The 22133-nt window shown below is 50.5% G+C and overlaps 1 protein-coding gene across 13 annotated transcripts in view, besides 3 other annotated features; it reads right to left on the bottom strand.

Moving 5' to 3' along the window:
• Positions 288 to 582: an enhancer, noted in NCBI's record as "tiled region #5335; HepG2 Activating non-DNase unmatched - State 21:Repr, and K562 Activating DNase matched - State 9:DNaseU". NCBI's record gives its function as "activates a minimal TATA promoter and a strong SV40 promoter by Sharpr-MPRA in HepG2 and K562 cells {active_cell/tissue: HepG2 | K562}" and the evidence as "EXISTENCE:reporter gene assay evidence [ECO:0000049][PMID:27701403]".
• The window catches only part of C1QTNF1 (C1q and TNF related 1), a 26855-nt gene continuing 18222 nt past the window's right edge, over positions 13501 to 22133 (bottom strand). For 10 of the 13 annotated variants that reach the window (NR_049769.3, NM_153372.3, XM_047435297.1 and 7 more), the window contains 3 exons: positions 19166 to 19334; positions 16595 to 16734; positions 13501 to 15751 (listed from right to left, as the gene is read on the bottom strand). Coding sequence is in view for 12 of the 13 variants with exons in the window: in XM_047435296.1 (XP_047291252.1) it covers positions 15201 to 15751; positions 16595 to 16734; positions 19166 to 19334 (860 nt within the window). In the remaining variant the exon portion in view is untranslated. Of the gene's footprint in view, positions 15752 to 16594; positions 16735 to 18403; positions 19097 to 19165; positions 19615 to 22133 lie in introns of those variants that run through there. The other 3 variants (XM_006721663.1, XM_017024126.1, NM_198594.4) reach the window with 3 other exon arrangements.
• Positions 15436 to 16635: an enhancer, noted in NCBI's record as "CDK7 strongly-dependent group 2 enhancer chr17:77042736-77043935 (GRCh37/hg19 assembly coordinates)". NCBI's record gives its function as "activates an origin of replication core promoter dependent on BRD2, BRD4, P300/CBP, MED14 and CDK7 cofactors, with strong dependence on CDK7, by STARR-seq in HCT116 cells {active_cell/tissue: HCT116}" and the evidence as "EXISTENCE:reporter gene assay evidence [ECO:0000049][PMID:35650434]".
• Positions 18824 to 19324: an enhancer, noted in NCBI's record as "H3K4me1 hESC enhancer chr17:77040047-77040547 (GRCh37/hg19 assembly coordinates)". NCBI's record gives its function as "activates a minimal SCP1, AML or CMV promoter by ChIP-STARR-seq in naive H9 embryonic stem cells {active_cell/tissue: H9 hESC(naive)}" and the evidence as "EXISTENCE:reporter gene assay evidence [ECO:0000049][PMID:30033119]".

Genomic DNA, 22133 nt, shown 5'->3' with positions numbered 1-22133 from the left:
GCCCTTTCAGCTGAGGCCCTAGACACGTGCGTGAGGCCATCATAGGCCACCTGGCTCCAGCTGAACTACCTGCTGCAGAAAGCCTCATGAACAAGCCAAATAAAGCCAGCAGATCCACCTGCCAACCCCCACGATCATGACGGATGAGGAACTGATGTTTTCTTCTTAAGCTATTAGGTAGGTGGTTTGTTATGCAACAATGTAATTAATTTGGTACAGGCTTGCCTCAAAGATATTGCAGATTCAGTTGAGTCCACCAAAGTAAAGTTAATATTGCAATAAAGTGATGATATAGTTTGGCTGTGTCCCCACCCAAATCTCATCTTGAATTCCCACATGTTGTGGGAGGGACCCAATGGGAAGTAACTGAATCATGGGGGCGGGTCTTTCCCGTGCTGCTCTCGTGATAGTGAATAAGTCTCACAAGATCTGATGGTTGTAAAAAGGGGAGTTTCCTTGCATAAGGTCTCTTCTCCTCTCTTGTCTGCCACTACGTGAGATGTAGCTTTCACCTTCTGCCATGGTTGTGAGGCCTCCCCAGCTACGTGGAACTGTAAGTTCGTTAAACGTCTTTCTTTTGTAAATTGCCCAGTGTTGGGTATGTCTTTATCACCAGCGTGAAAACAAACTAATACAAGTGAGTTACAATTTTTTGGTTTCCTGGAGCCTATAAAAGTTATGTTTATGGGCTGGGCACCTTGGCTCATGCCTGTAATCCCAGCACTTTGAGAAGCTGAGGCAGGAGGACCAAGTGAGCCCAGGAGTTCAAGACTAGTCTGGACAACATAGTGAGACCCTGTCTCTACAACAACAACAAAAAAAATACAAAAATTAGCCGGGCGTGGTGGTGCATGCCTGCGGTCCCAGCTTCTCAGGAGGCTGGAGGAGTACTGCTTGAGTCTGGGAGTTGGAGGTTGAAGTGAGCTGTGTTGGCACCATGGATCTGCAGCCTGCACAACAGAGTGAGACCCCCCATCTCTAAAATAAAAAAAAAATTAATTAATTATAAAGTAATGTTTACATTATACTGTAGTTTATTAAGTGTGCAATACCATTATGTCTTAAGAAACAAGGTACACACGTTAATTTAAAAATACATTATTGTGGCCGGGCTCGGTGGCCTATGCCTGTAATCCCAGCACTTTGGGAGGCCGAGGTGGGTGGATTGCCTGATGTCAGGATTTCAAGACCAGCCTGGCCAACATGGTGAAACCCTGTCTCTACAAAAAAATACAAAATTAGCCGGGCATAGTGGCAGATGCCTGTAATAGAAGGCTAAGGCAGGAGAACCACTTGAACCCAGGAGGCAGAAGTTACAGTGAGCTGAGATCATGCCACTGCATTCCAGCCTGGGCAACAAGAGCAAAACTCCATCTCAAAAAAAAAAAAAAAAAAAAAAAAAAAAAAAAATATATATATATATATATATATATATATATATAGCTAAAAATTACTAGTGATTATCTAAGCCTTCAGCAAGTCTAGTTGTCATCATTTTGCTGGTGGAGGATCTTGCCTCAATGTTGGTGACTGCTGACTGTCCAGGGTGGTGGTTACTGAAGATTAGGGTGGCTGTGGCAATTTCTTTTTTTTTTTTTTTTTTTTTTTTTTGAGATGGAGTCTAGCTCTGTCGCCAGGCTGGAGTGCAGTGGCACGATCTCGGCTCACTGCAACCCCTGCCTCCCGGATTCAAGCGATTCTCCTGCCTCAGCCTCCCGAGCAGCTGGGACTACAGGCATGCGCCACCATGCCCAGCTAATTTTTGTATTTTTTAGTAGAGACGGGGTTTCACCATGTTGGCTTGGATGGTCTTGATCTCTTGACCTCGTGATCCACCCACCTTGGCCTCCCAAAATACTGGGATTACAGGCATGAGACACCATGCCCAGCTGGCTGTGGCAATTTCTTAAAATATGACAACAGGGCTGGGCACCATGGCTCACGCCTGTAATCCCAGCACTTTGGGAGGTCAGGGCAGGAGGATTGCTTGAGCCCAGGAGTTCAAGACCAGCCTGGGCAACATGGCAAAACCGCCTCTCTACAAAAAAAAAAAAAAATTAGGCATGCTGAAACACGCCTGTAGTCCCAGCTACTAGGGAGGCTGAGGTGAGAGGATCACCTGAGCTTGGGGAGGTCAAGGCTGCAGTGAGCCATGATTGTGCTACTGCACAACCTGGGCAACAGAGTGAGACTCTGCCTCAAAAAAAAAAAAAAAAAAAAAAAGACAATGATGAAATTTGCCACACCGAGGGACTCTTCCATCCAGGAAAGATTTCTCCGCAGCATGCAATAATATTTGATAGCATTTTACCCACAGAAGAACCTCTTTCAAAATTATAATCAGGCCAGGCATGGTGGCTTGGCCTGTAATCCCAGCTCTTTGGGATTTAAAGTGATCAGTTAAGGTCAGAAGTTGGAGCCCAGCCTGGGCAACATGATGAAACCCCGCCTCTACTAAAAATACAAAAATTAGCCAGGCACTGTGGCGGGTACCTGTAATCCCAGCCACTTGGGAGGCTGAGGCATGAGCATCGCTTGAACCCGGGAGGCAGAGGTTGCAGTGAGCCAAGATCATGCCGTTGTACTCCAGCCTGGGTGACAGAGCAAAACTCCATCTAAAAAAAAAAATTAGAATCAGTCCTCTCAAACCCTGCCACTGTTGTATCAATTACATTTATGGAATATTCTAAATCCTGTGTTGTCATTTTAACAATGTTCATGGCATCTTCACCAGGAGTAGATTCCATCTCAAGAAACCACTTTCTTTGCTCATCCCTAAGAAGCAGCTCTCATCCATTTAAGTTTGATCATGAGATTGTGGCAACTCAGTCCCATCTCCAAGCTCCGCTTCTTGTTCTAGTTCTCTGCTATTTCCACCACCTCTATAGTTCCTTCCTCCACTGGAATTTTGGACCCTCCAAGCCATCCATGAGGGTTGGCATCAAGCTCTTCCAAACTCCTGTGAATGTTGGCCTCCCATGAATCATGAATGTTCTTAATGTCATCTAGAATGGGGAATCTCTTCCAGAAGGTTTTCAGTTGACTTGCCCAGATCCATCAGAGGAATCTCTAGCTATGGCAACTAAAGCTTTACTATTAATATATATATGATATATGTTTTCTTAATCTGAGAGATAATTTATTTTATTTTTTTGAGATAGTCTTGCTCTGTCACCCAGGCTGGAGTCCAGTGGTGCTATCTCAGCTCACTGCAACCTCTGCCTCCCAGGTTCAAAGGGTTCTCCTGCCTCAGCCTCCCAAGTAGCTGGGATTACAGGCATGTGCTGCCACGCCGGGCTTTTTTTTTTTTTTTTCGTATTTTTAGTAGACACGGGGTTTCACCATGTTGGCCAGGCTGGTCTCGAACTCCTGACCTCAGGTGATCCGCCCCTCCTCGGCCCCCCTCAGCCTCCCAAAGTGCTGGGATTACAGGCACGAGCCACCGCGCCTGGCCCGATACTTTACTTTAAACTAAAATAACCAGCTTCTATTTGAATATTTTTCTATAATAAAGACATATAGCTTTTTGTGCTAGTTTGGTTTTACTTGTTTTTGTTTGTTTTATTTTGCTTTTCTGAGACAAGGTCTGGCTCTGTCACCCAGGCTGGAGCGCAGTTGGCAGGATCGTAGCTCACTGCGACCTCAACTTCCTGGGCTCGATACTGTCTCAAAAAAAAAAAAAAAAGACAAGAATGAAGTTTGCCACACCTCCCCCTTCAGCCTCCTGAGCAGCTGGGACCACAAGCGCATGACACCATGCCCAGCTACTTTTTGCATTTTTTGTAGAGATGGGTTTTCACCATGTTACCCAGGCTGGTCTTGAACTTACGGGCTCAAATAATCCACCTGCCTTGGCCTCCCAGAGTGCTGGGATTACAGGCATTAGCCACCATGCCCGGCTGCTAGCTTGGTTTTTCATACTAAAAAGGTAGCATGTGCACCTCACACAATGCACATTATGTAGAATTTAAAATACAAATGTGGCCAGGCACAGTGGGTCACGCCTATAATCCCAGCACTTTGGGAGGCCGAGGCTGGTGGATCACGAGGTCAGGAGTTTGAGACCAGCCTGACCAACATGGTGAAACCCTGTTTCTACTAAAAATACAAAAATTACCCAGGCATGGTGGCACGTGCCTGTAATCCCAACTACTCAGGAGGCCGAGGCAGCAGATCGCTTGAACCCAGGAGGTGGAGGTTGCGGTGAGCCAGGGTCGCGCCACTGCATTCCAACCTGGGTGACAGACGGAGACTCTGTCACACATACACACACACACACACACACACACACACACACACACAAATACAAATGTACTCATTGCCCAACCCCAACCACCGTCCACTTCTCCGCTTCCTGTTTTTTTTTTTCCAGATTTTTTACTGTGATAAAACACACATAAGATTTGCTAAATTGCCCATTTTAAGTGTACTGCTCAGTGGTGGTGTGATTTTCCTCTAATTTGGCCTTCAGGTCTCTTCTGGAGGGTGCCTGTAAACTCGCCCTGACAAGGCTCCAGGGGAAGTGCTGGTGGGCGTTTGCAGTATGCCTTTCACAGGAGGCTTCTTTTTTTGAGACAGAGTCTCTCTCTGTCGCCCAGCCTGGAGTGCAGTGGCATGATCTCAGCTCACTGCAACCTCCACCTCTCGGGTTGGAGCATTTCTCCTGCCTCAGCTTCCCAAGTAGCTGGGATTAAAGGCATGCGCCACCACACTGAGCTAATTTTTGTATTTTTTAGTAGAAATGGGGTTTCACTGTGTTGGCCAGACTGGTCTCCAACTCCTGACCTCAGGTGATCTGTCCCACTTGGCTTCCCAAAGCGCTGGGATTAGAGGTGTGAGCCACCACGCCTGGCCATAAGAGCCTTCTTTATTCTGGTAGATGGCCTAATGCCTATGTGTCACCAGGTGTTCCTCTCCCAGGAAACTTGTTTCCACTGGAAGCCCTTGTGGCTTTTGTGTGACCTGTGTCCCTACCAAGACAGTGACTCTCTAGAAGAGCCCTGACCAGGAGGCATCATTACAGAACACATGACGGAAGAGAAGCAGTTTATTACTCACAGACCCTGGAGAGAACAACGTGCCTGAGAGGGCGATGGGCAGTCCAGAGACAGCAGGGAGCTCACCCAGCGGGGGAGGTGTATATGTGTACGTGGCGGTGGGGTGGGTGGGGACCTGTGAGATCAGGCCCTCGTTAAGGCCCATGGGCATTATCTTATTCTTTCTTGTGGGGGTTGTGGATTGCTCGTTTAAAGAAAACACACACAAAAGGGGAACTTATTGCCATGACTCTGGTGTTGGCCACTAAGTTTTTGTCACAGTCGGCAATGGTGGGATGTGTTGGGTTTGGGGTCAGTGGGGTGAGGAATAAGCGGGTGTAACACAAATAACCACATGAGGAGGGGAGTTTTAAGGCCAAGGGTGACATGGTATGTTTCAGAAAAAAACCATGCTGCATCCAGTATTAGATTCTAGCCCTGTTCATTTTCTTTGAAGAGTTTTGGTTTTGTTTTTTGTTTGTTTTGTTTTGTTTGAGACAGAGTCTGGCTCTGTCACCCAGGCTGAAGTGCAGTGGTGCAATCTCAGCTCACTGCAACCTCCACCTCCCAGGTTCAAGCAATTCTCCTGCCTCAGCCACCCTAGTAGCTGGGATTACAGGTGCCCACCACCACGCCTGGCTAATTTTTGTATTTTTAGCAGAGACAGGGTTTCACCATGTTGGCCAGGCTGTTCTCGAATTCCTCACCTCAGGTGACGTCGGCCTCCCAAAGTTGTGTTGTTGTTGTTATTATTATTATTATTATGGTTATTATTATTATTTGAGATAGAGTCTGGCTCTGTCACCCAGGCTGGAGTGCAGAGATGCTATCATGGCTCACTGCAGCCTCAACCTCCCTGGGCTCAGGTGATCCTCCCACCTCAGCCTCCCGAGTAGCTGGGACCACAGCCGTGTGCCACTCTGCCTGGCTAAATTTTTTCTATTTTTTGTAGAGATAGGTGATAGGTGCCCTTACTTTGCTGCACAGGTTGGTCTCGAATTCCTAAGCTCAAGCAATCCTCCTACCTTGACCTCCTAAAGCGCTGAGATTACAGGTGTGAGCCACTGTACCTAGCCAATAAAGTATTCTTATTATTATTATTGTTTTTTGAGACACAGTCTCACTCTGTCATCCAGGGTTGAGTGCAGTGGTGCAATCTCAGCTCACTGCAGCCTTGACCTCCCTGGGCTCAAGTGGTCCTCCCACCTCAGCCTCCCAAGTAGCTAGGAGTACTGGCATGTGCCACCATGCCCAGCTAACTTTTTGTAGAGATGGGGTTTCACCACGTTGCCCAGGCTGGTCTTGAACTCCTGGGCTCAAGAAATCCACCTGCCTCAGCCTCCCAAAGTGCTGAGATGACAGGCGTGAGCCACTATGCCTGGGCCAATAAAGTATTTTTTAAATTAAGGTATGTACATTTTTGATAAGAATTAATGCTGTTGCACACTTAATAGACTATAGTATAGCGTAAACATAACTTATACATGCACTGGGAAGCAGTGCTGACTCACAGCCCAGCATTCCCTACAGATGCTGCCACAATAAAAACCTAATGGTTATAGCCAGAACCCCCTCACCCCGATGTTTCCTCCTAGGAATTTTCCACCCACTGACCCCCACCCTGCTCCCCGGCTATAAATCCCCACTTGCCCAAGCTGTATTCTGGGTTACACCCAATCCCTTTCCTCCACCACAAGACCCCATTGCAATGGTCCCTGTACCTGTCTCAACAGTCCTGATAAGGTCTGCCTTACCATGCCTTAACAAGAGTCACTAAATAAGGTCTTCTTTAACAGTTCGGCCAGGCGTGGTGGCTCATACCTGTAATCCCAGCACTTCGGGAGGTCGAGGTGGGTGGATCACCTGAGGTCAGGAGTTCAAGACCAGCCTGACAAACATGGTGAAACCCTGTCTCACTAAAAATACAAAAATTAGCCAGGCATGGTGGCGCACACCTGTAATCCCAGCTACTCGGGAGGCTGAGGCAGGAGAATCACTTGAGCCCAGGAGGTGGAGGTCGCAGTGAGCTGAGATCGTACCACTGCACTCTAGCCTGGGTGACAGAGCGAGACTCTGTCTCCAAAAACAAACAAACAACAACAACAACAAGACAATTAACAGAGTTGTGCAGCTATCACCACAATCTAGTTTTAGAACAGTTTGTCTCAGCCGGCCATGGTGGCTCACGCCTGTAATCCCAGCACTTTGGGAGGCCGGGGCTGGTGGATCACAAGGTCAGGAGTTTGAGACCAGGCTGACCAACATAGTGAAACCCTGTCTCTACTAAAAATACAAAAAAATTAGCCAGGCGTGGTGGCATGCACCTGTAATCCCAGCTACTTGGGAGGCTGAGGCAGGAGAATCACTTGAACCTGGGAGGCAGAGGTTGCAGTGAGCCAAGATCATGCCACTGCCCTCCAGCCTGGGCAACAGTGCAAGACTCCATCTCAAAAAAACAAACAAACAAACAGTTTGTCTCCCCAAAAAGAAACCAACTAGCAGTCGTATTCTAATCCCCCCACCACACACAAGCAGCCTTGGAAACTTCTCGTCTGCTTTCTGTCTCCATGGATGTGCCTCCCCTGGAGATTTCATATAAATGGAATCCCACAATATGTGGTCTTCATGTCTGGTTTCTCGCACACAGTGTAATGTTTTGAGGTTCATTCCATGCTGTAGCATGCATCACTAATTCATTCCTTTTATAGCCAAATAATAGCCCATCATATGGACACACCACATTTTATTTATTCCGTTACCCACTGATGGACATTTGGGTTGCTTCCATTTTTTGGCTATTATGAATACTACTAGGAACATTGGAGTACAAGCTTTTGTGTGGGAGCTTGTCCTTATTTCTCTTGGGTATACACTTAGTGGAAGTACTGAGTCATGTGGAAACTCTATGTTTAACATTCTGAGAATTTTCCGACTGGTTTCCAAGATTATTATTTTCTTACTGGCGACATCCGTTGAGAATCGCCACCAAATTCACCATTATTCTAGGCCTGGATTCCTCCCTGCATCTCTCACCTTTCCTCTGCATTCATTTTCTCTCAGTGCAGGTTTTCCAGTGACAGAGTCTCCCAATTTTTGTTTGTTTGAAAATATCTTTTTAAAAATATTTTAATTGGAAATAGAACTGAGATGGACAGTTATTTCTAGCCCTTTAAACATTCCATTCCGCTATCTTGTGGCTTCTGCTCTTTTGCTTGTATTTGTTCATTCTCTTGTTGCTATAAAGAACTGCCTGAGACTGGGCAATTTACAAAGAAAAGAGGTTTAATTGGCTCACAGTTCTTCAGGCTGTAGAGGAAGCATGATGGCTTCTGGAGAGGCCTCAGGAAACTTTCAATCATGGCAGAAGGCAAAGGGGAAGCAGGCTGGTCTTGCATGGCCAGAGCAGGAGGAAGAGAGAGACGGGGAAGACATTTTGACACAACCAGATCTCATGTGAACTCTATCACAAGAACAGGGGGACTCAAGGGGGAACCACCCCCATGACCCAATCACCTCCCACCAGGCCCCATCTCCAACATTGGGAATTACAATTTGACATGCTTGGGTGAGGACACAAATCCAAACCACAGCAGAGGTCAGTTGTGATACTTATTATTGCTCCTGTGAAAGAAAATATTTTCCCCTCTGCTTTTAAGACTTTCTCTTGGTCTTTGGTTTTTAGTAGTTGTACCATGATATGCCATGCTGGCTGTGACCTTGGTTTTATTTGTCTTGCTTGGGATTCACTGAGTTTCTTGAATCTGTACCTTAGAGACTGATCAATTGGGTGATTTTTCTCAGCTATTTTATCTTCCAATATTTCTGTTGCCTTTTCTCTCTCATGTTGCCTCCTGGGACTCCAGTTGCACGTGTATTGGGCCTTCTTATTGTCACTTCTGTACTTTTGTTCTGTGTTTTCATCCTTTTGTCTTTCCATACTTCTTTCTAAATATTTTCTTCTGATTTCTCTTCTAATTCACTGATTTTTCTTTTCAGCTGTGTACAGTATGATGGTATATTTATCCACCAAATTCTTAGTTTATTTTTTTTTTTCTTTTTCTTTTTTTTTTTTTCTGAGACAGGGTCCCACTCTGTACCCCAGGCTGGAATGCAGTGGTGCAAGCATGGCTCACTGCAGCTTCCACCTCCCAGTTTCAAGTGGTCCTCCTGCCTCAGCCACCCAAGTAGCTGGGACTACAGGCATGTGCCACGATGCCCGGCTAGCTTTTGTATTTTTTTGTAAAGATGGGATTTTGCCATGTTGCCCAGGCTCTTAAATTCATTTGTTTTGTTTTTCACTTCTAGAGCTTCCATTTGCTTCTTTATTATCACCACCATCATCACCATCATTAAAGTTTTCTGCCACAAATATCAATCCTTTTTTTTTACCTCCCTGAATGTAGCAAGCATAGTTATTTTATATTCTGATTGTGATAACTCTAAATGGTAAGAGTTTTTTCCCTCATGTGGTAGGCATTTAATACATTCTTGTGGAATATCTCAGTAAGCAGGATCTCAAGTTGCTTGGAGAACTAACTTAGTGGCTATGTCAATTGAGCGGTTGGAACATTTCCTGTCTTTAGGCAAGGAGGTTTCCAAATTTTCCAGAGCATATGGACTTCTAATCCTATCTATAAAAGTGTCTGAAGTAGAAATTCCTTGTCCTTGCCTGGCCATCTGCATAATGAGAAATGGGCTTACTCCATTCTGCCCTAGGAAGGGCAGGATATGGGAGCACTTGAGGTCACCATAGTTTCCCATCCCTGCCCCAGCTGTGGAAGGACTTTAGAGAGGAAGACATGGTCCTCAATTAGTCATTCCTTGTGGAATGCTTCCCCTGGCACCTGCATCAGCCTCCTGCTGACTCTGTGATCTCACCCACCAGTTGATTCAAAAATGCTTGTTCAACAATGTCCTTGGAAAAACTAACCCTGACACTCCCATCCCATCTCACTGGCCCTTGGCCCCTGTGCCATCGTAAGCCAAGCCCAGAACAATGGGACCAACTCTGAAGGTCATGACTCTGGAGCTCCAGGACTTTCCAGCCTTGAATAGAGAAGGCTGCGGCAGCCTAATTTTTTGGTTTTGTGTTACTTGTTTTGATAACTGCTGTTTATTGAGATATTATTTACATACCATAGAATCATCCATTTAAAGTGTAGAATTCAGTAATTTTTAGTTTAGATTTGCTTATTCTGGTCATTTCATATAAATGGAATCATGCAACGTATGGCCTTTTCTGTCTGGCTTCTTTCCCTTTTGATAATGTTTCTGAGGTTTACCAATGTTGTAGTAGGTAATAGCACTTCATTCCTTTTTTTTTTTTTTTTTTTTTTTTTGAGATGGAGTGAGTCTTGCTCTGTCACCCAGGCTCTGGAATGCAGTGGCACGATCTCCGCTCACTGCAACCTCTGCCTCCCAGGTTCAAGCAATTCTCCTGCCTCAGACTCCCAAGTAGCTGGGATTACAGGCACACACCACTACGCCTGGCTAATTTTTGTATTTTTTTAGTAGAAACAGGGCTTCACCATGTTGGCCAGGCTGGTCTCGAACTCCTGACCTTGTGATCTGCCTGCTTTGTATAGACACACTGCATTTGTTTACCTGTTCATCAGCTGAGTGGGCACTTGGGTTGTACCTGCTTCTTTGTTATTACTAATAATGCTGCTATGAACATCTATCTATAAGCTTTTCATAGACATATATTTTCATGTCTTTTGGGTATATACCTAGAAGTGTTATGGCTGGGTCAGCTGTAGCTCTATGCTTAACATTTTGAGGAACTGCCAGGCTGTCTTCTAAAGGGGACTCACCATTTTGTATTCCTGACAGCAGTTCCAGCAGCTCCATATCCTCAGCAACACATGTTATCATCTGTCTTCTTGACAACAGCCTTCCCATTGGTTGTAGAGTTGTCTCACTGTGGTTTTGATTTGCGTTTCCCTGATGATACACCTGTTCATGTGTGTATTGGTGGTTGTAGAGTTGTGTCTCACTGTGGTTTTGACTTGCATTTCTCTGATGATTACACCTGTTCATGTGTGTATTGGTTACTTGTATATCTCCTCTGGAGAAGTGTGGGCTGCTTTGCCCATTTTTAATTAGATTATTTGTCTTTTTATTATTGAGTTGCAAGAGTTCTTTATATATTCTAGATATAAGTCCCTTATCAGATATATGATGGCAAATATTTTCTCCCATTCTGTGAGTTGTCTTTTCACTTACTTGATGGTGTCCTTTGAAACACAGAAATTTACAAGTTTGATGATGTGCAGTTGATCTATTTTTTTCTTTTGTTGCTTGTACCTTTGATATCATACCTAAGAAATCATCACCTAATCCAAGGTCATGAAGATGTATGCCTGGGCTTTCTTCTAAGAATTTTGTAGTTTTGGCTCTAATATTTAGGCCTTTGATCCAAGGCCTAATTTTCGTATATGGTGTGAGGTAGGGGCCCAACTCCATTCTTTTGCATGTTGGGACATCGATATCTTGCATTATTTATTATTTTCTGTTACATTCTATTTTTTTTTAATAATCTGGGCAACAATGTCTCATCTTATGCTAGTCATTATGGCCCAATAAAATCAGCTTGCCATCACGCCACTGCGTTCCCATAGTGGACCTTACAGAAAATTATCATTGAGGACTAGTGTGGGCCATGACCTCCTCATCCCCATCCCTGGCTACAAAAGCTCCTGAAAGTCCTAACATAGGCAGTTATTTCGTTGGGCTGAGTCATCAGCCATTACTAAGTCCTTTTGCTAAAACACTGATATTTGTATTGCAACTGAGTTTTCTAGACCCTTTAGTGAGATGGCTAGCCAATTTCTCACCAGCTTGGGACAGGAAACCGGGAGAGGATCCCGTCAAGATCAACTGCTTGGGGAGGCATCAGGTGGAGCAGATCACTTGGTACCAAGCGTGCAGCTCTTCTGAGAAGGCTGACCTCTGTCAGACGGCAGTCGAAACCCTGGGAAAGTCCTCAGGAAGGCAAGGACCATATCTTATCTGTCCTTATGCCTCCAGTGCCTAGCACACGATCTGCCACAAAGCAGGAGCAAGGGAAATATTTGGAGGAAGAATGGGTGGAGCATAAATGCCAGCCTGAAAATATTGGGGGTGGGGAAACCCCAAAGATAGAGGGATGTTAAAAGGAGCATGGAGCGGACTGGAGCAGACCCTGCCTCTTTTCCCATGGGAATTTGGCCAGCAGAGAAACAGGTATTATATGGTCCACGTGACTCCGTCTCCAGAGAGGGTTGTCATTGGGCACCTGTATGAAGCTGGCTGGTTCCCTCCAGGCACCTCTGGGAAGGGCACTTAGCCCTTGCTCCCCACTGCCTGGGAAGCACATCCTCTGCTGAGTGGCCTGAACTCCGCGGAGGTAGGAGCCTGCTCCTTCTCCCGTACAGAGCAGGATTGCAGGGTCCCCTTGATCCAGTCTGGCTCTAGCACAAGGCCAAGCATGAACACATGGCCTCACCCCAGGAGCGGGCAGAGGAAGGAGATCAGCTGTTTGCAGCCTGCTGGCACCAGAGAGAGCAAGGTAGCTTCTGTGCTCCCCGCTGGCAGCTGGATGCAGTGCCTGGCTGTTAACCCAGTTGGCAAGCGATGGAGAGAAGAAGGAACATCTGCTCTGCACCACTGGAGAACAGAGGGGGCTGCTGATGGGTGTATTCAAGCTGCAAGCCATGGTAGAGGTTGAACTGTATCCCCCAAAAAAAGATATGTCCAAGTCCTCACCTCTGCTATCTGTGAATGTCACCTTATTTGGAAATAGTCTTTGCAGACGTAATTAAGTTAGGATCTAGAGAGAAGACCATCCTGGATTTACAGTGGGCCCTAAATATTTACCTGATTCTCTAAATCCAGCAACAGGTGTTATAGTAAGGGAAGGGAGAGGAAGATTTGAGACACACGGAGGGGAAGGCCACATGAAGACGGAAGCAGAACCTGAGGAGATGCAGCCGCAAGCCAAGGAGTGCCTGGGGCTACCAATAGCTGGAAGGGGCAGGAAGGACCCTCCGCTAGAGGCTTATGCCACCCACGCCCCAACCCCAGTTTCCACGGCAGCCCTAGGAAAGGAATAGTGTCCAGGCTGCAGAGCCATGGCCAAGCTGCTACCTCCACAGTTTCTCTCCCTCCCGGGGGACAGTGCGGTCCTGCTCAGGAGATCAAGCCCCTGCCTCCCACCCACCTCTCACAAGTCCCCAGACCCACCCAGGCCCCAGGCGCCCGACTCAGGCACACGTTCAGCTGCAGCTGAGACACGCTGTCGCTGCCCCACCCATGGGAGGCTGCACCCCCTGGAGGAGCGAGGCAACTCAGGGTCCAGCATGCACCTGCTGGGTACCAATGTCCCCAGGTATGAAGCTGAGGGCCTCCCAGGCAGGAGTGGGCCTTGGGTGGAGAGGAGAAGACGAAAAGGATTCAGTTTAATGAGCAAACTGACGAGGCAGGATGCTGAAAACACAATTCTGAGTTTAATGTTTTCTGGAAAGAGCTGGGGGAGCTTAAGCAGCGAGTGTGGCGCTCTGCTTCCGGGCACGCCCACAGCAACTCGGCTTCAGAGTCTGACCCGCAGAAGTTCTTTAAAGAGAGGGACTTAGGGACCCCAGATCCCGGCAGCCAGGCCCAGAGAGGGAAGCAGGATTAGTCAAAACCAGGTGGGGGATGGGGGGAAGGAAGAGAGGCAGCGGGGGTTTGGGGGCCCAGCGGGTAGCAAGAGTGACCCTGGGCATCAACATGGGGTGAGGTGGAGAGGGGCTATGGGGTTCCTGGAGATCAGAGTCTGGGGTGGCCATGGGCAGGGCGAGAGCACCGTGGAGACACCGCAACCCTGCTCCAGCTGGTCCTGCAATTGCCACAGGGGCTATTGCCTCTCCTGCCACCCAGCTCCTGAGAGTGAATCCTGACACGGGTGATTGGGACGTGTACTTCCTCTTGACTCTGGTCTCAGGACTGAGGCTCACAGGAGCCTGAGAAACAGACAAGCGGGAGCTTTCTAGCCCCTTCCAGCTCTCCCCTGCTCTGAAGCCTAGAAAAAGCCCCTCTCAGGCTACTGGTCAGAGGCCTGGATGAGGGCAGTGGGGGCAGAAGGGGTCTGGATCAGCCTTGCTGCCAACCAACACAACACACGTGGAAGCGGTGATGCTTAGCCCACGAGGAGATGGGAGACTGCAGTGCTGCTTGAGGTGTTTTATAAAAAACAGAAGCCAAGGCCCCGGGGCCTTCTGGGGCTGATTTGTGTGGGAGGCGGCACAGAAAGCCGATGCCAGGGTGGCAGGCATGGAGACCACCCCCCAGGGCTCTGGGGTGGCACAGGGGTGGAGCAGAGCCACACATGGATGTACCAGGAGCTCTGCCCCTCATAGAAACATCTGCAGGCCTGGGGGACCCAGGGGTCCCTGGCCACTGTCAGGAGCCCTTCGGCTGCTTCTACCAACCTGGAGCCAAGGCAGGGGGCTCAGCTGTCCCTCTGGGAGGCTGACGCCTGGGGCCCCAGCCCCCATCACCTCGCAGCTGTGACTCAGAAAGACCAGCAGAGCCCTTGGGCAAGGCCACAGGGATGTCAGGGTCCACCTATCCCTCAAGAAAGTTCCTACGTGGCTTAAAAGAATTAAGCCAGAGGTAGTTTCCTGCCCCCGGCCCCTCCCCTGACCCCAGAGCTTTAACTTTGGATCTTCTCTTAAGCAGAGTCTCAACTGAAAAGGCCTCTCTCTTGGGAGCCAGCAGGCTGGCTGGAAAGACAAAAATAACAACCCTTTTCTTTGTCCTCCACGGTTTACTTTGCTCCTTTTGAGACCTTTAGAATTTGCCTAATTATTTCCAAGGACTGGAGCCGCGGTGCCGCACCCTGGGACGCCCTGCCGCCACCCGCGTCTCGCCGTGCGGGGTCACTTGAGGATGTGTGCAGAGAGGGCCGCGGAAGGTCCCAGAGGGTTCTCGCGGGTGCCCCGCCCTGGTGATTTCATCTGCCGTCAGCTCTCTCCAGAGGCTGCGGGATCTGGGAGCACCGATCGCTTTGGCTTTCTGTGTGTGCAGGGCGTCTCACTGAATGCCAAAGCCAGGGAGTCGGAGTCCAGGGATCGGGGAAGAGGCGGTGGGGTCAGCACAGCGCAGGGGTGGAAGGTGGCGAGAGGAAAGGAGGTGGCCGGCCAGCTAGGGCTCGGTGGCGTGCTTGACCAGGTAGCCACTGAAGGTGATGTAGGTGTCCAGCTCCTCGCTGAAGATGGCGTTCTCACGTTCGCCCTTGTAGAGGCGTACCCACACCTGGTCCTGCTCTCGCAGCTCCAGCATCAGGCTCTGGCTTTGCATGATGCTGCGGTCGCCCACCTGCGCGAACAAGATCACCACCTCCTCCTCGTTCTTCATGATGTGCAGGTAGGTCTCCTTCTGGTTCCAGGTGTGCACGTTGAGGCTGAAGAAGTAGAGGCCGGGCACGTAGCAGTAGAACTTGCCGGTGAACATGTTGAAGTGGTCGTAGAGGTTCACGAACTCCGTGTCGAAGATCACCGTCTGGTAGTAGTGGTTGCTGTGCATGGGCTTCTTCCGGCCCACCGAAAAGGCGGCGTAGTGGCTCTTGCACCGCTCCCCAGGGGCCCCCATGGAGCCCTTCTGCCCTTTGGGTCCAGTGTGGCCCCTGGCCCCTGCTGAGCCTGTTTTGCCATATTTCCCTTGGAGGCCTCGATCTCCGCGGTCACCCTTCTCCCCTAAAAGGGATGGGAAAACGCGTGCTGTTAATGGAGCAATCCGGTAGTGTCCTGAGCCTTGGCTGCTCACTCTCCGGTCCCTGGCGCTGTCCTGATTCGTCCTCACAGCCCTGACCTGGCAGAAGCTTCACTCCTGCCCCCAGCCCCCTGCCACGGGCGGCGTCCCAGCCTGGCACAGAGGTATTGTGATTCCCAAAATGGCCAAGCAAACAGACTCAACCTCAAGGATGGTTCTATTTTCGCCCAGAAGCAATAATTTTTTTTTCCTTCTGGAAAGCCCTGGTAAAAAAAAAAAAAAAGAAAAGAAAAAAAAGAAAATGGAACATACGGGTTCGTCCAAAAGCAATGGGCTCTGCGGCCAGACCGACGGCTCGCTCTGAGCAAATGAACTCCAGATGTCGGGGCCAGCTGGGGATCTAGGCTGCAAGTGTTTCCAGTTCGATTTCACGGGGCTGTGCAGGGTTATCTGCCGTGTGCAGGACCGGAGCGAGCAGGTGGCATTTCAGAAAGCAGGCTGGGGGACCAAGCCCCAAAGCAAAGGGCCTAGAAGCCTGGCGTCCACATACAACTGGAGGGACGAGACCCCGAGTAGCCTCTGGGCTCCCTCTCCTGCTCTTGGTCCTGTGGGCCCCTTTCCAACCCCTCCTCTTGGAGAGGGGCCAGAGCCTCAAAATCAGAATTTCCTGTGCCTTCCCCTCTAGATGACAGCCTGCCTGCCTCTGCTCCCTGTCCCGAGGGAGCCATTCTGCTCTCGCCTAGCCCCACCCTAACGACTCCATCCCTTCCTCCGGATCAGCACAGAGCAGCCCGGCCACCCCGTGCTTGTCTTTGCAGCCATCTGACCTTTCAAGATAGTGATGTTGATCTGGGGCACGGCGGTCGCCGGGTACATGGAGGTACCGGGGTCACAGCAGCGCAAGCACCGGGAAGCAGGGAGCCCCTGGTCCTGACTGGGCCTGTATTTTTCATGTTGTTCTTCAGCCCTGAGGGAATAAAGAATCACAGTGAAAGTCAGCCACTCTCAGGCCTGGAAACGCTGCTCTCTCCTGCTGCCAGTGGTTCTGGCATGCCTGACCTGCCTTCTCACTCTCTCACCTGGACCCACAAGGCTCTGTGTTCACGCTGGTGGGCTCACGGCCCACTCTGGGATCCTCACTACCGAACGAGCCCCCTGCCCTCTGTTAAAGGCAATGACAGTCCTGGAAACACACGCAGCGATCAATTGAGTGCCACGCAAGATGGGGGCTGCTCGGGAGAAATCCACACTTCTAAGAGAGGGTCTTTGGGTGACACAAGACAATGCCGGGACTCCCTATCGTATATCCGTGATGCTAGAAAATAACATATGAAGCTGACTCGTCTGCAAATAAGAAGGTTCAACTGGATCTTTAGGATTCCCCTCAGCTGTAGCCGCTGGAGAGACTCTTATGTTTCCAACCTGATTGGAAGGACAAGCCCGCAGGCAGGATGGACGGCGGCGGCTCCTGGCTGCCACCTCGCGGCCCCTCATGGCATCACATGTGCTCTGGCTTGTGGCTCTTCTTGCCCAGGCTGTAGAGCTGCGCAGACCCACGGGGGCAGCAAAGTCCCCCTGGATGGGCCAGCTCCTCATCTAATGCTGCTCCCACTTCTGCACCCCAGACTATCCAGGAAACGGATCTCTGTGCCCTAAGTTCAGCTACCCATAAGCCCAGGACTCCCAGATGGACATCTCACCCCTACCTCTCTCCTAAGCCCCAGACCTTGACTTCAAACTTCTCACCAGAAGTCTCCATCTGGAGATGCAACAGGCCCCACAGATGTCATGTATGCAAAACCGAAACCCCTGTCCCCATCCCTTCGCCCCTGGAATCTTCTCTTTCTGAGCTCTGTTCCTGGCATCAACAGCGGGTGCCCAGGGTGGAGCCTTCGGCATCACCCCCGACTCCCTCCGCCAACCCCCTGGCACAACTTTCAGCAGAGTCCTGGGCTCCCAGCCAAAAGGCACCTCCAGAACTGAGCCCAGGGCCCTCATCATCTCTGATGCACCCCTGCCATTTCGACTCTCACTTGGAATCTGCCCCTCCCCGCACCAGCTCATCCTCTCTGCTGCCTCCCTCTGGCATTCTTCCGAGAACACCGTCCAATTCAAGCTTTCCCATGATTCCTCTTGTTCTTTGTAGGATTGAGTTCAGGTGAGACCCTCCCCAACTAGACCCAGCTGCCTCCAGGCTCAACTGCCCTACTGTCCTCCAGCCTCCAGCCTCCAGCACTGGGTCTCACCATCCCAAACCACCCACCAGCCCAACAAACACCACCAGCCATGCCTTTGCACACCCCATTCTGGCTACCAGGTAGCTTTCCCCTCCTTCTGCACCTGGGAGGCCCGCAGGTGTCCTTCAAGACCTAGTTCACTCCTTTCAGTCTTCCTGGGACCCGCTCCTCCCTCTCCTGGCCCTGCCTCCAGCGTCATGGGTACACCCCTACTACAAAGCCCACCACGCTGCCCTGTCTCTCATGTGTCTATCTCCCTCTCGGCCTCAGAGCTCCTGGAGGCCAGGACTGTGCCACTCATGTGTCCCCCCGTGCCTGGGGGATGGCCTGACTGATAGGAGGGGCTCAATCAAAGAAAGAGGAGGGAGAGGAAGAAAGAACGGAATGATGTGACTCAACCTCAAATCCTGTCCAATCCCATCGTACACTGAAGTTAGTCTGAAGCCTCAAGTATCAAGTCAGCCCAACGCTCAAAATAATGAAGAGACTCCAAGCCAGGCTTGAGCTGTCGCCGGGTCTCCAGGACCTCACTCTGGGTACATGGCAGTTGGATGAAGCACTCGGCTTCCCTAGGAAATGTCCCAGGTCGGCTGGAGTCTCTCTGTCATTGCAGGTCGTAGACACGAAGGCCATCCAGAGTCCTTCACAACCTTTCAAGGGAAGCCGACACTTGGCCCACCCAGTCTCCGCTGTCCTCTCCTGTCCTGCAGTGTGATAAGACGCGTGGGCCATGGACACCAGCTCTTGGTCCAGCATCTCTCCTAAGGCCATGCTCCACTTCTCCCTGCCTCCAAGTGGTGCCTAGGTCCCCAGCAGATATTCTCAGCGGACAAAGTGAGAATGGAAAGACAAACTGGAGGGCAGGTTGGGAGCTTGGTCTGCTCTTAAGGAGGCAGCTGCAAAGCCACTTGCAGACCCCACTCCTTTAGGCTCGTGGTGAGGCTGGATCACTGTCCGCAGTTTCAGGTGAGGTGCCCAAGCCACTGAAAGGAGGAATCGCTCGTCTGTCCTGCAGGACCAGCCTCCAGCAGGGCCACGGCTCAGCTTCAGCTTTCTTGCCTTCACATCTCACAGTGAACTAGCTCCCCCAGGGGCCCCAAGGCCCAGGCTCAGCCTGGCCAGAGCCAGAGCTCCTGCTATTACACCCTCGTGGCCCCTCACCTCTCGGCATGGTCCGGAGGCGACGGCAGCTCCTCAGTCCCCTCCCACTCCTGCTGTTCCCCCTGGACATGGGGCACACGACTCAGGACCAGGCCAGAGGCAAAGGCAAGGAGCAGGCAGTACGCCAGCAAGAGTCCCTGTCCACGGGAGCCCATCTTCCTGCCGGGCCCTGGTGGGAAAGAAACACACAGGGAAGGCACCGAGTTAGGAAGGAGCTGCACAGAGAAACAGCCTGAAAATTGGGGAGAGAAACAGCCTGGAAATCGGAGGTGCTTCCCCAGCCTCACGCCACTGGGAAATGCTGCAGTTACACAGCTTCTGGGAGGACAATCACTCTCACACACCCATGCATGCATACACGCACTCACGACGCACTCACGTGCACACACGCACATGCACACACATTCACATACATGCAACCCCCACACATGCACACACTCAACACACATGCAATCCACACATGCACACACAGTCACATACACTCACATGCAACCCACACATTCACATGCACCCAACACACATGCAATCCACACACATGTAATCCACACACATGTACACACAATACACATGCACAGTCTCAACAATGAAACCTACACACATGCATACATATACCCACATCACATGCACACTCATGCAATCCACGCACCCATATGCACACTCTTAACACACATGGAATCCACACGCTCACATGCACACAGTCAACACACATACACTCACACTCACATGCACATACATGCACATACACAGTCCACACACATGCACTCACACATGCAATCCACATGCTCACATGCACTCAACACACATGCACAACTCACATGCACACATACCCAAATCACATGCACACTCTCAACACACATGCACACACATGCATACATATACCCATATCACATGCACACAGATTCACACACACATGCAATCCACACACATGCACACTTTTACATGCACTCACACACATATACCATCACATGCACTCACATGCAATCCAACATGCACACACATTCACATACATGCAATCCATGCACACATGCACACACATACACACATGCAACCCACACACACATGCAACCCACACATGCACACACATTCATATACATGCAATCCACACACATGCACATTCGCATACATGCAATCCACACATGCACACTTTCAACACACGTGCACACATTAACATGCACACATATACCCACATCACATGCACACTCACGTGCACGCCCGCATACTCTCAACACATTCACATGCATGCACATCCACTCATGCACACATGCGCTCACATGTACACACACCTTCACATGTGCGCACACACTCTGCCCCCAGAGCCTCAGCCAGTCAGGCTGGTGTTGAGGGGTTGCTGAGCAAGGTGCTGTCTCTGCCCACCCAGCCTCTCGGGAAGGAGAGTCCATCAGCCGCTGGCCCCACAGACAATTGTATACCACCCCTCTTAGGACAGTAAGAAAAATCCCAAGCAAGCTTTGAATGATCATCATCCCTTAACTCAAAGCAAAGCTGGCTCAATGACCAGGTCCTTCACCGGTGGGTAGGTGGGTAGGAAGGTGGCTGCAAGCTGCTTTCTGGCCACCAGGCGGCGCATCAGCAGGTGTCCTTGGCATCTACTTTAGGGATGTGCCAAGCCCAGCCCCACAGAGCAGTCATCCTTCCAGGAAGCCAACCCCACGTCTCACTCCCAGAGCTTTTGGCAAAAGCTTGGGGCAGGACCCCCTCCATCCAGTATTGGGACAGTCCTTCTAGAAAGGGGTGCTCACGGAGGTGGGGAGTCCAGGGAGCCCGCGAGGGGCGGCACTTGGGCCCACATTAGGCGAACGCCCACCTGCCACCCTGTGAGCGGCTTGCTCCCCTCGCCCAGGAATCTGGCATCAGGAGTCGCAGGCCCAGCCGTTTCAGGTGGGCCGAAAACCTCCCCACCGAGGGGCACAGCGACTGTGGTCAACTCTAACCCCTCTTTGTTCACCAAAATGTAAAACTCGAAATGTCGCAGGCCCCGTGGGAACACCTCATTCAACACACAGCCGCCCAGTGAGAAGGTGGGTGAGAAGCGTCCCTCACTCCTGGCTGCCAGGCCGGCGTGGACTCCAGCTCTTTCTTGAGAGGCAAACAGTGAAAGCAAGGGCTCATCTCCAAAGGCCCTGGGCCAGACTCTTTCTCCTCTAACTCCTCTTATGTCTAAGGAAAGTTAAAATCCTGACAGATTTCTTTCTCTGCCCATATTACACACCAAGATGACCGCGACGTCTTACTCATCTTGGGAAGCCGGGAATTTCTTCCACACACACCGTCGCTCGGGGGCTTTGGAGCCTCTGCGGGGGATGTCTGTAGCGGGCTTTTTTTTTTTTTTTTTGAGATGGAGTCTTGCTCTGTCACCCAGGCTGGAGTGCAGCAGTGTGATCTCGGCTCACTCCGCCTCCTAGGTTCAAGTGATTCTCCTGCCTCAGCCTCCCAAGCAGCTGGGATTACAAGCATGCGCCACCACGCCCAGCTAATTTTTGTATTTTTAGTAGAGACGGGGTTTCACCACGTTGGCCAGGCTGGTCTGGAACTTCTGACCTCAAGTGATCCACCCACCTCGGCCTCCCGAGGTGCTGGGATTCCAGGCGTGAGCCACGGCCCAGGACTTTAGTGGGCTCTTGAGTGAAGTCTGAAGGGCTCCCCGCAGAGCCCTCACGCCAAGTCAACATTGCAGGGGAAGATCTGGAGTCCAGGGCTCTCCCGATAGAGCCTCCGAGGTGACAGTGAGGAGAGCAAGGCTGGCCCCCCCGAACCTCTCTCCTCCCCTGTCACACATACCTACACCCAGTCTTCACCACCTTGCATGGCCCACGCCCCATCTCTGCAGTGGCTTAGCTGGAGCCCCCACCTCCAAGTGTCCTACCAGCCAGCTGTCCCTCCCATGCGTCAGGGCCCAGAGACCGTCCCAATGACCAAGGAGCTGCTTAGGCCACAGCCCCCACCCAGA

The sequence above is a fragment of the Homo sapiens genome, chromosome 17 (assembly GCF_000001405.40).
Source record: "Homo sapiens chromosome 17, GRCh38.p14 Primary Assembly".
NCBI lineage: Eukaryota > Metazoa > Chordata > Mammalia > Primates > Hominidae > Homo > Homo sapiens.
This window is presented reverse-complemented; position numbering and strand designations above follow the sequence as displayed.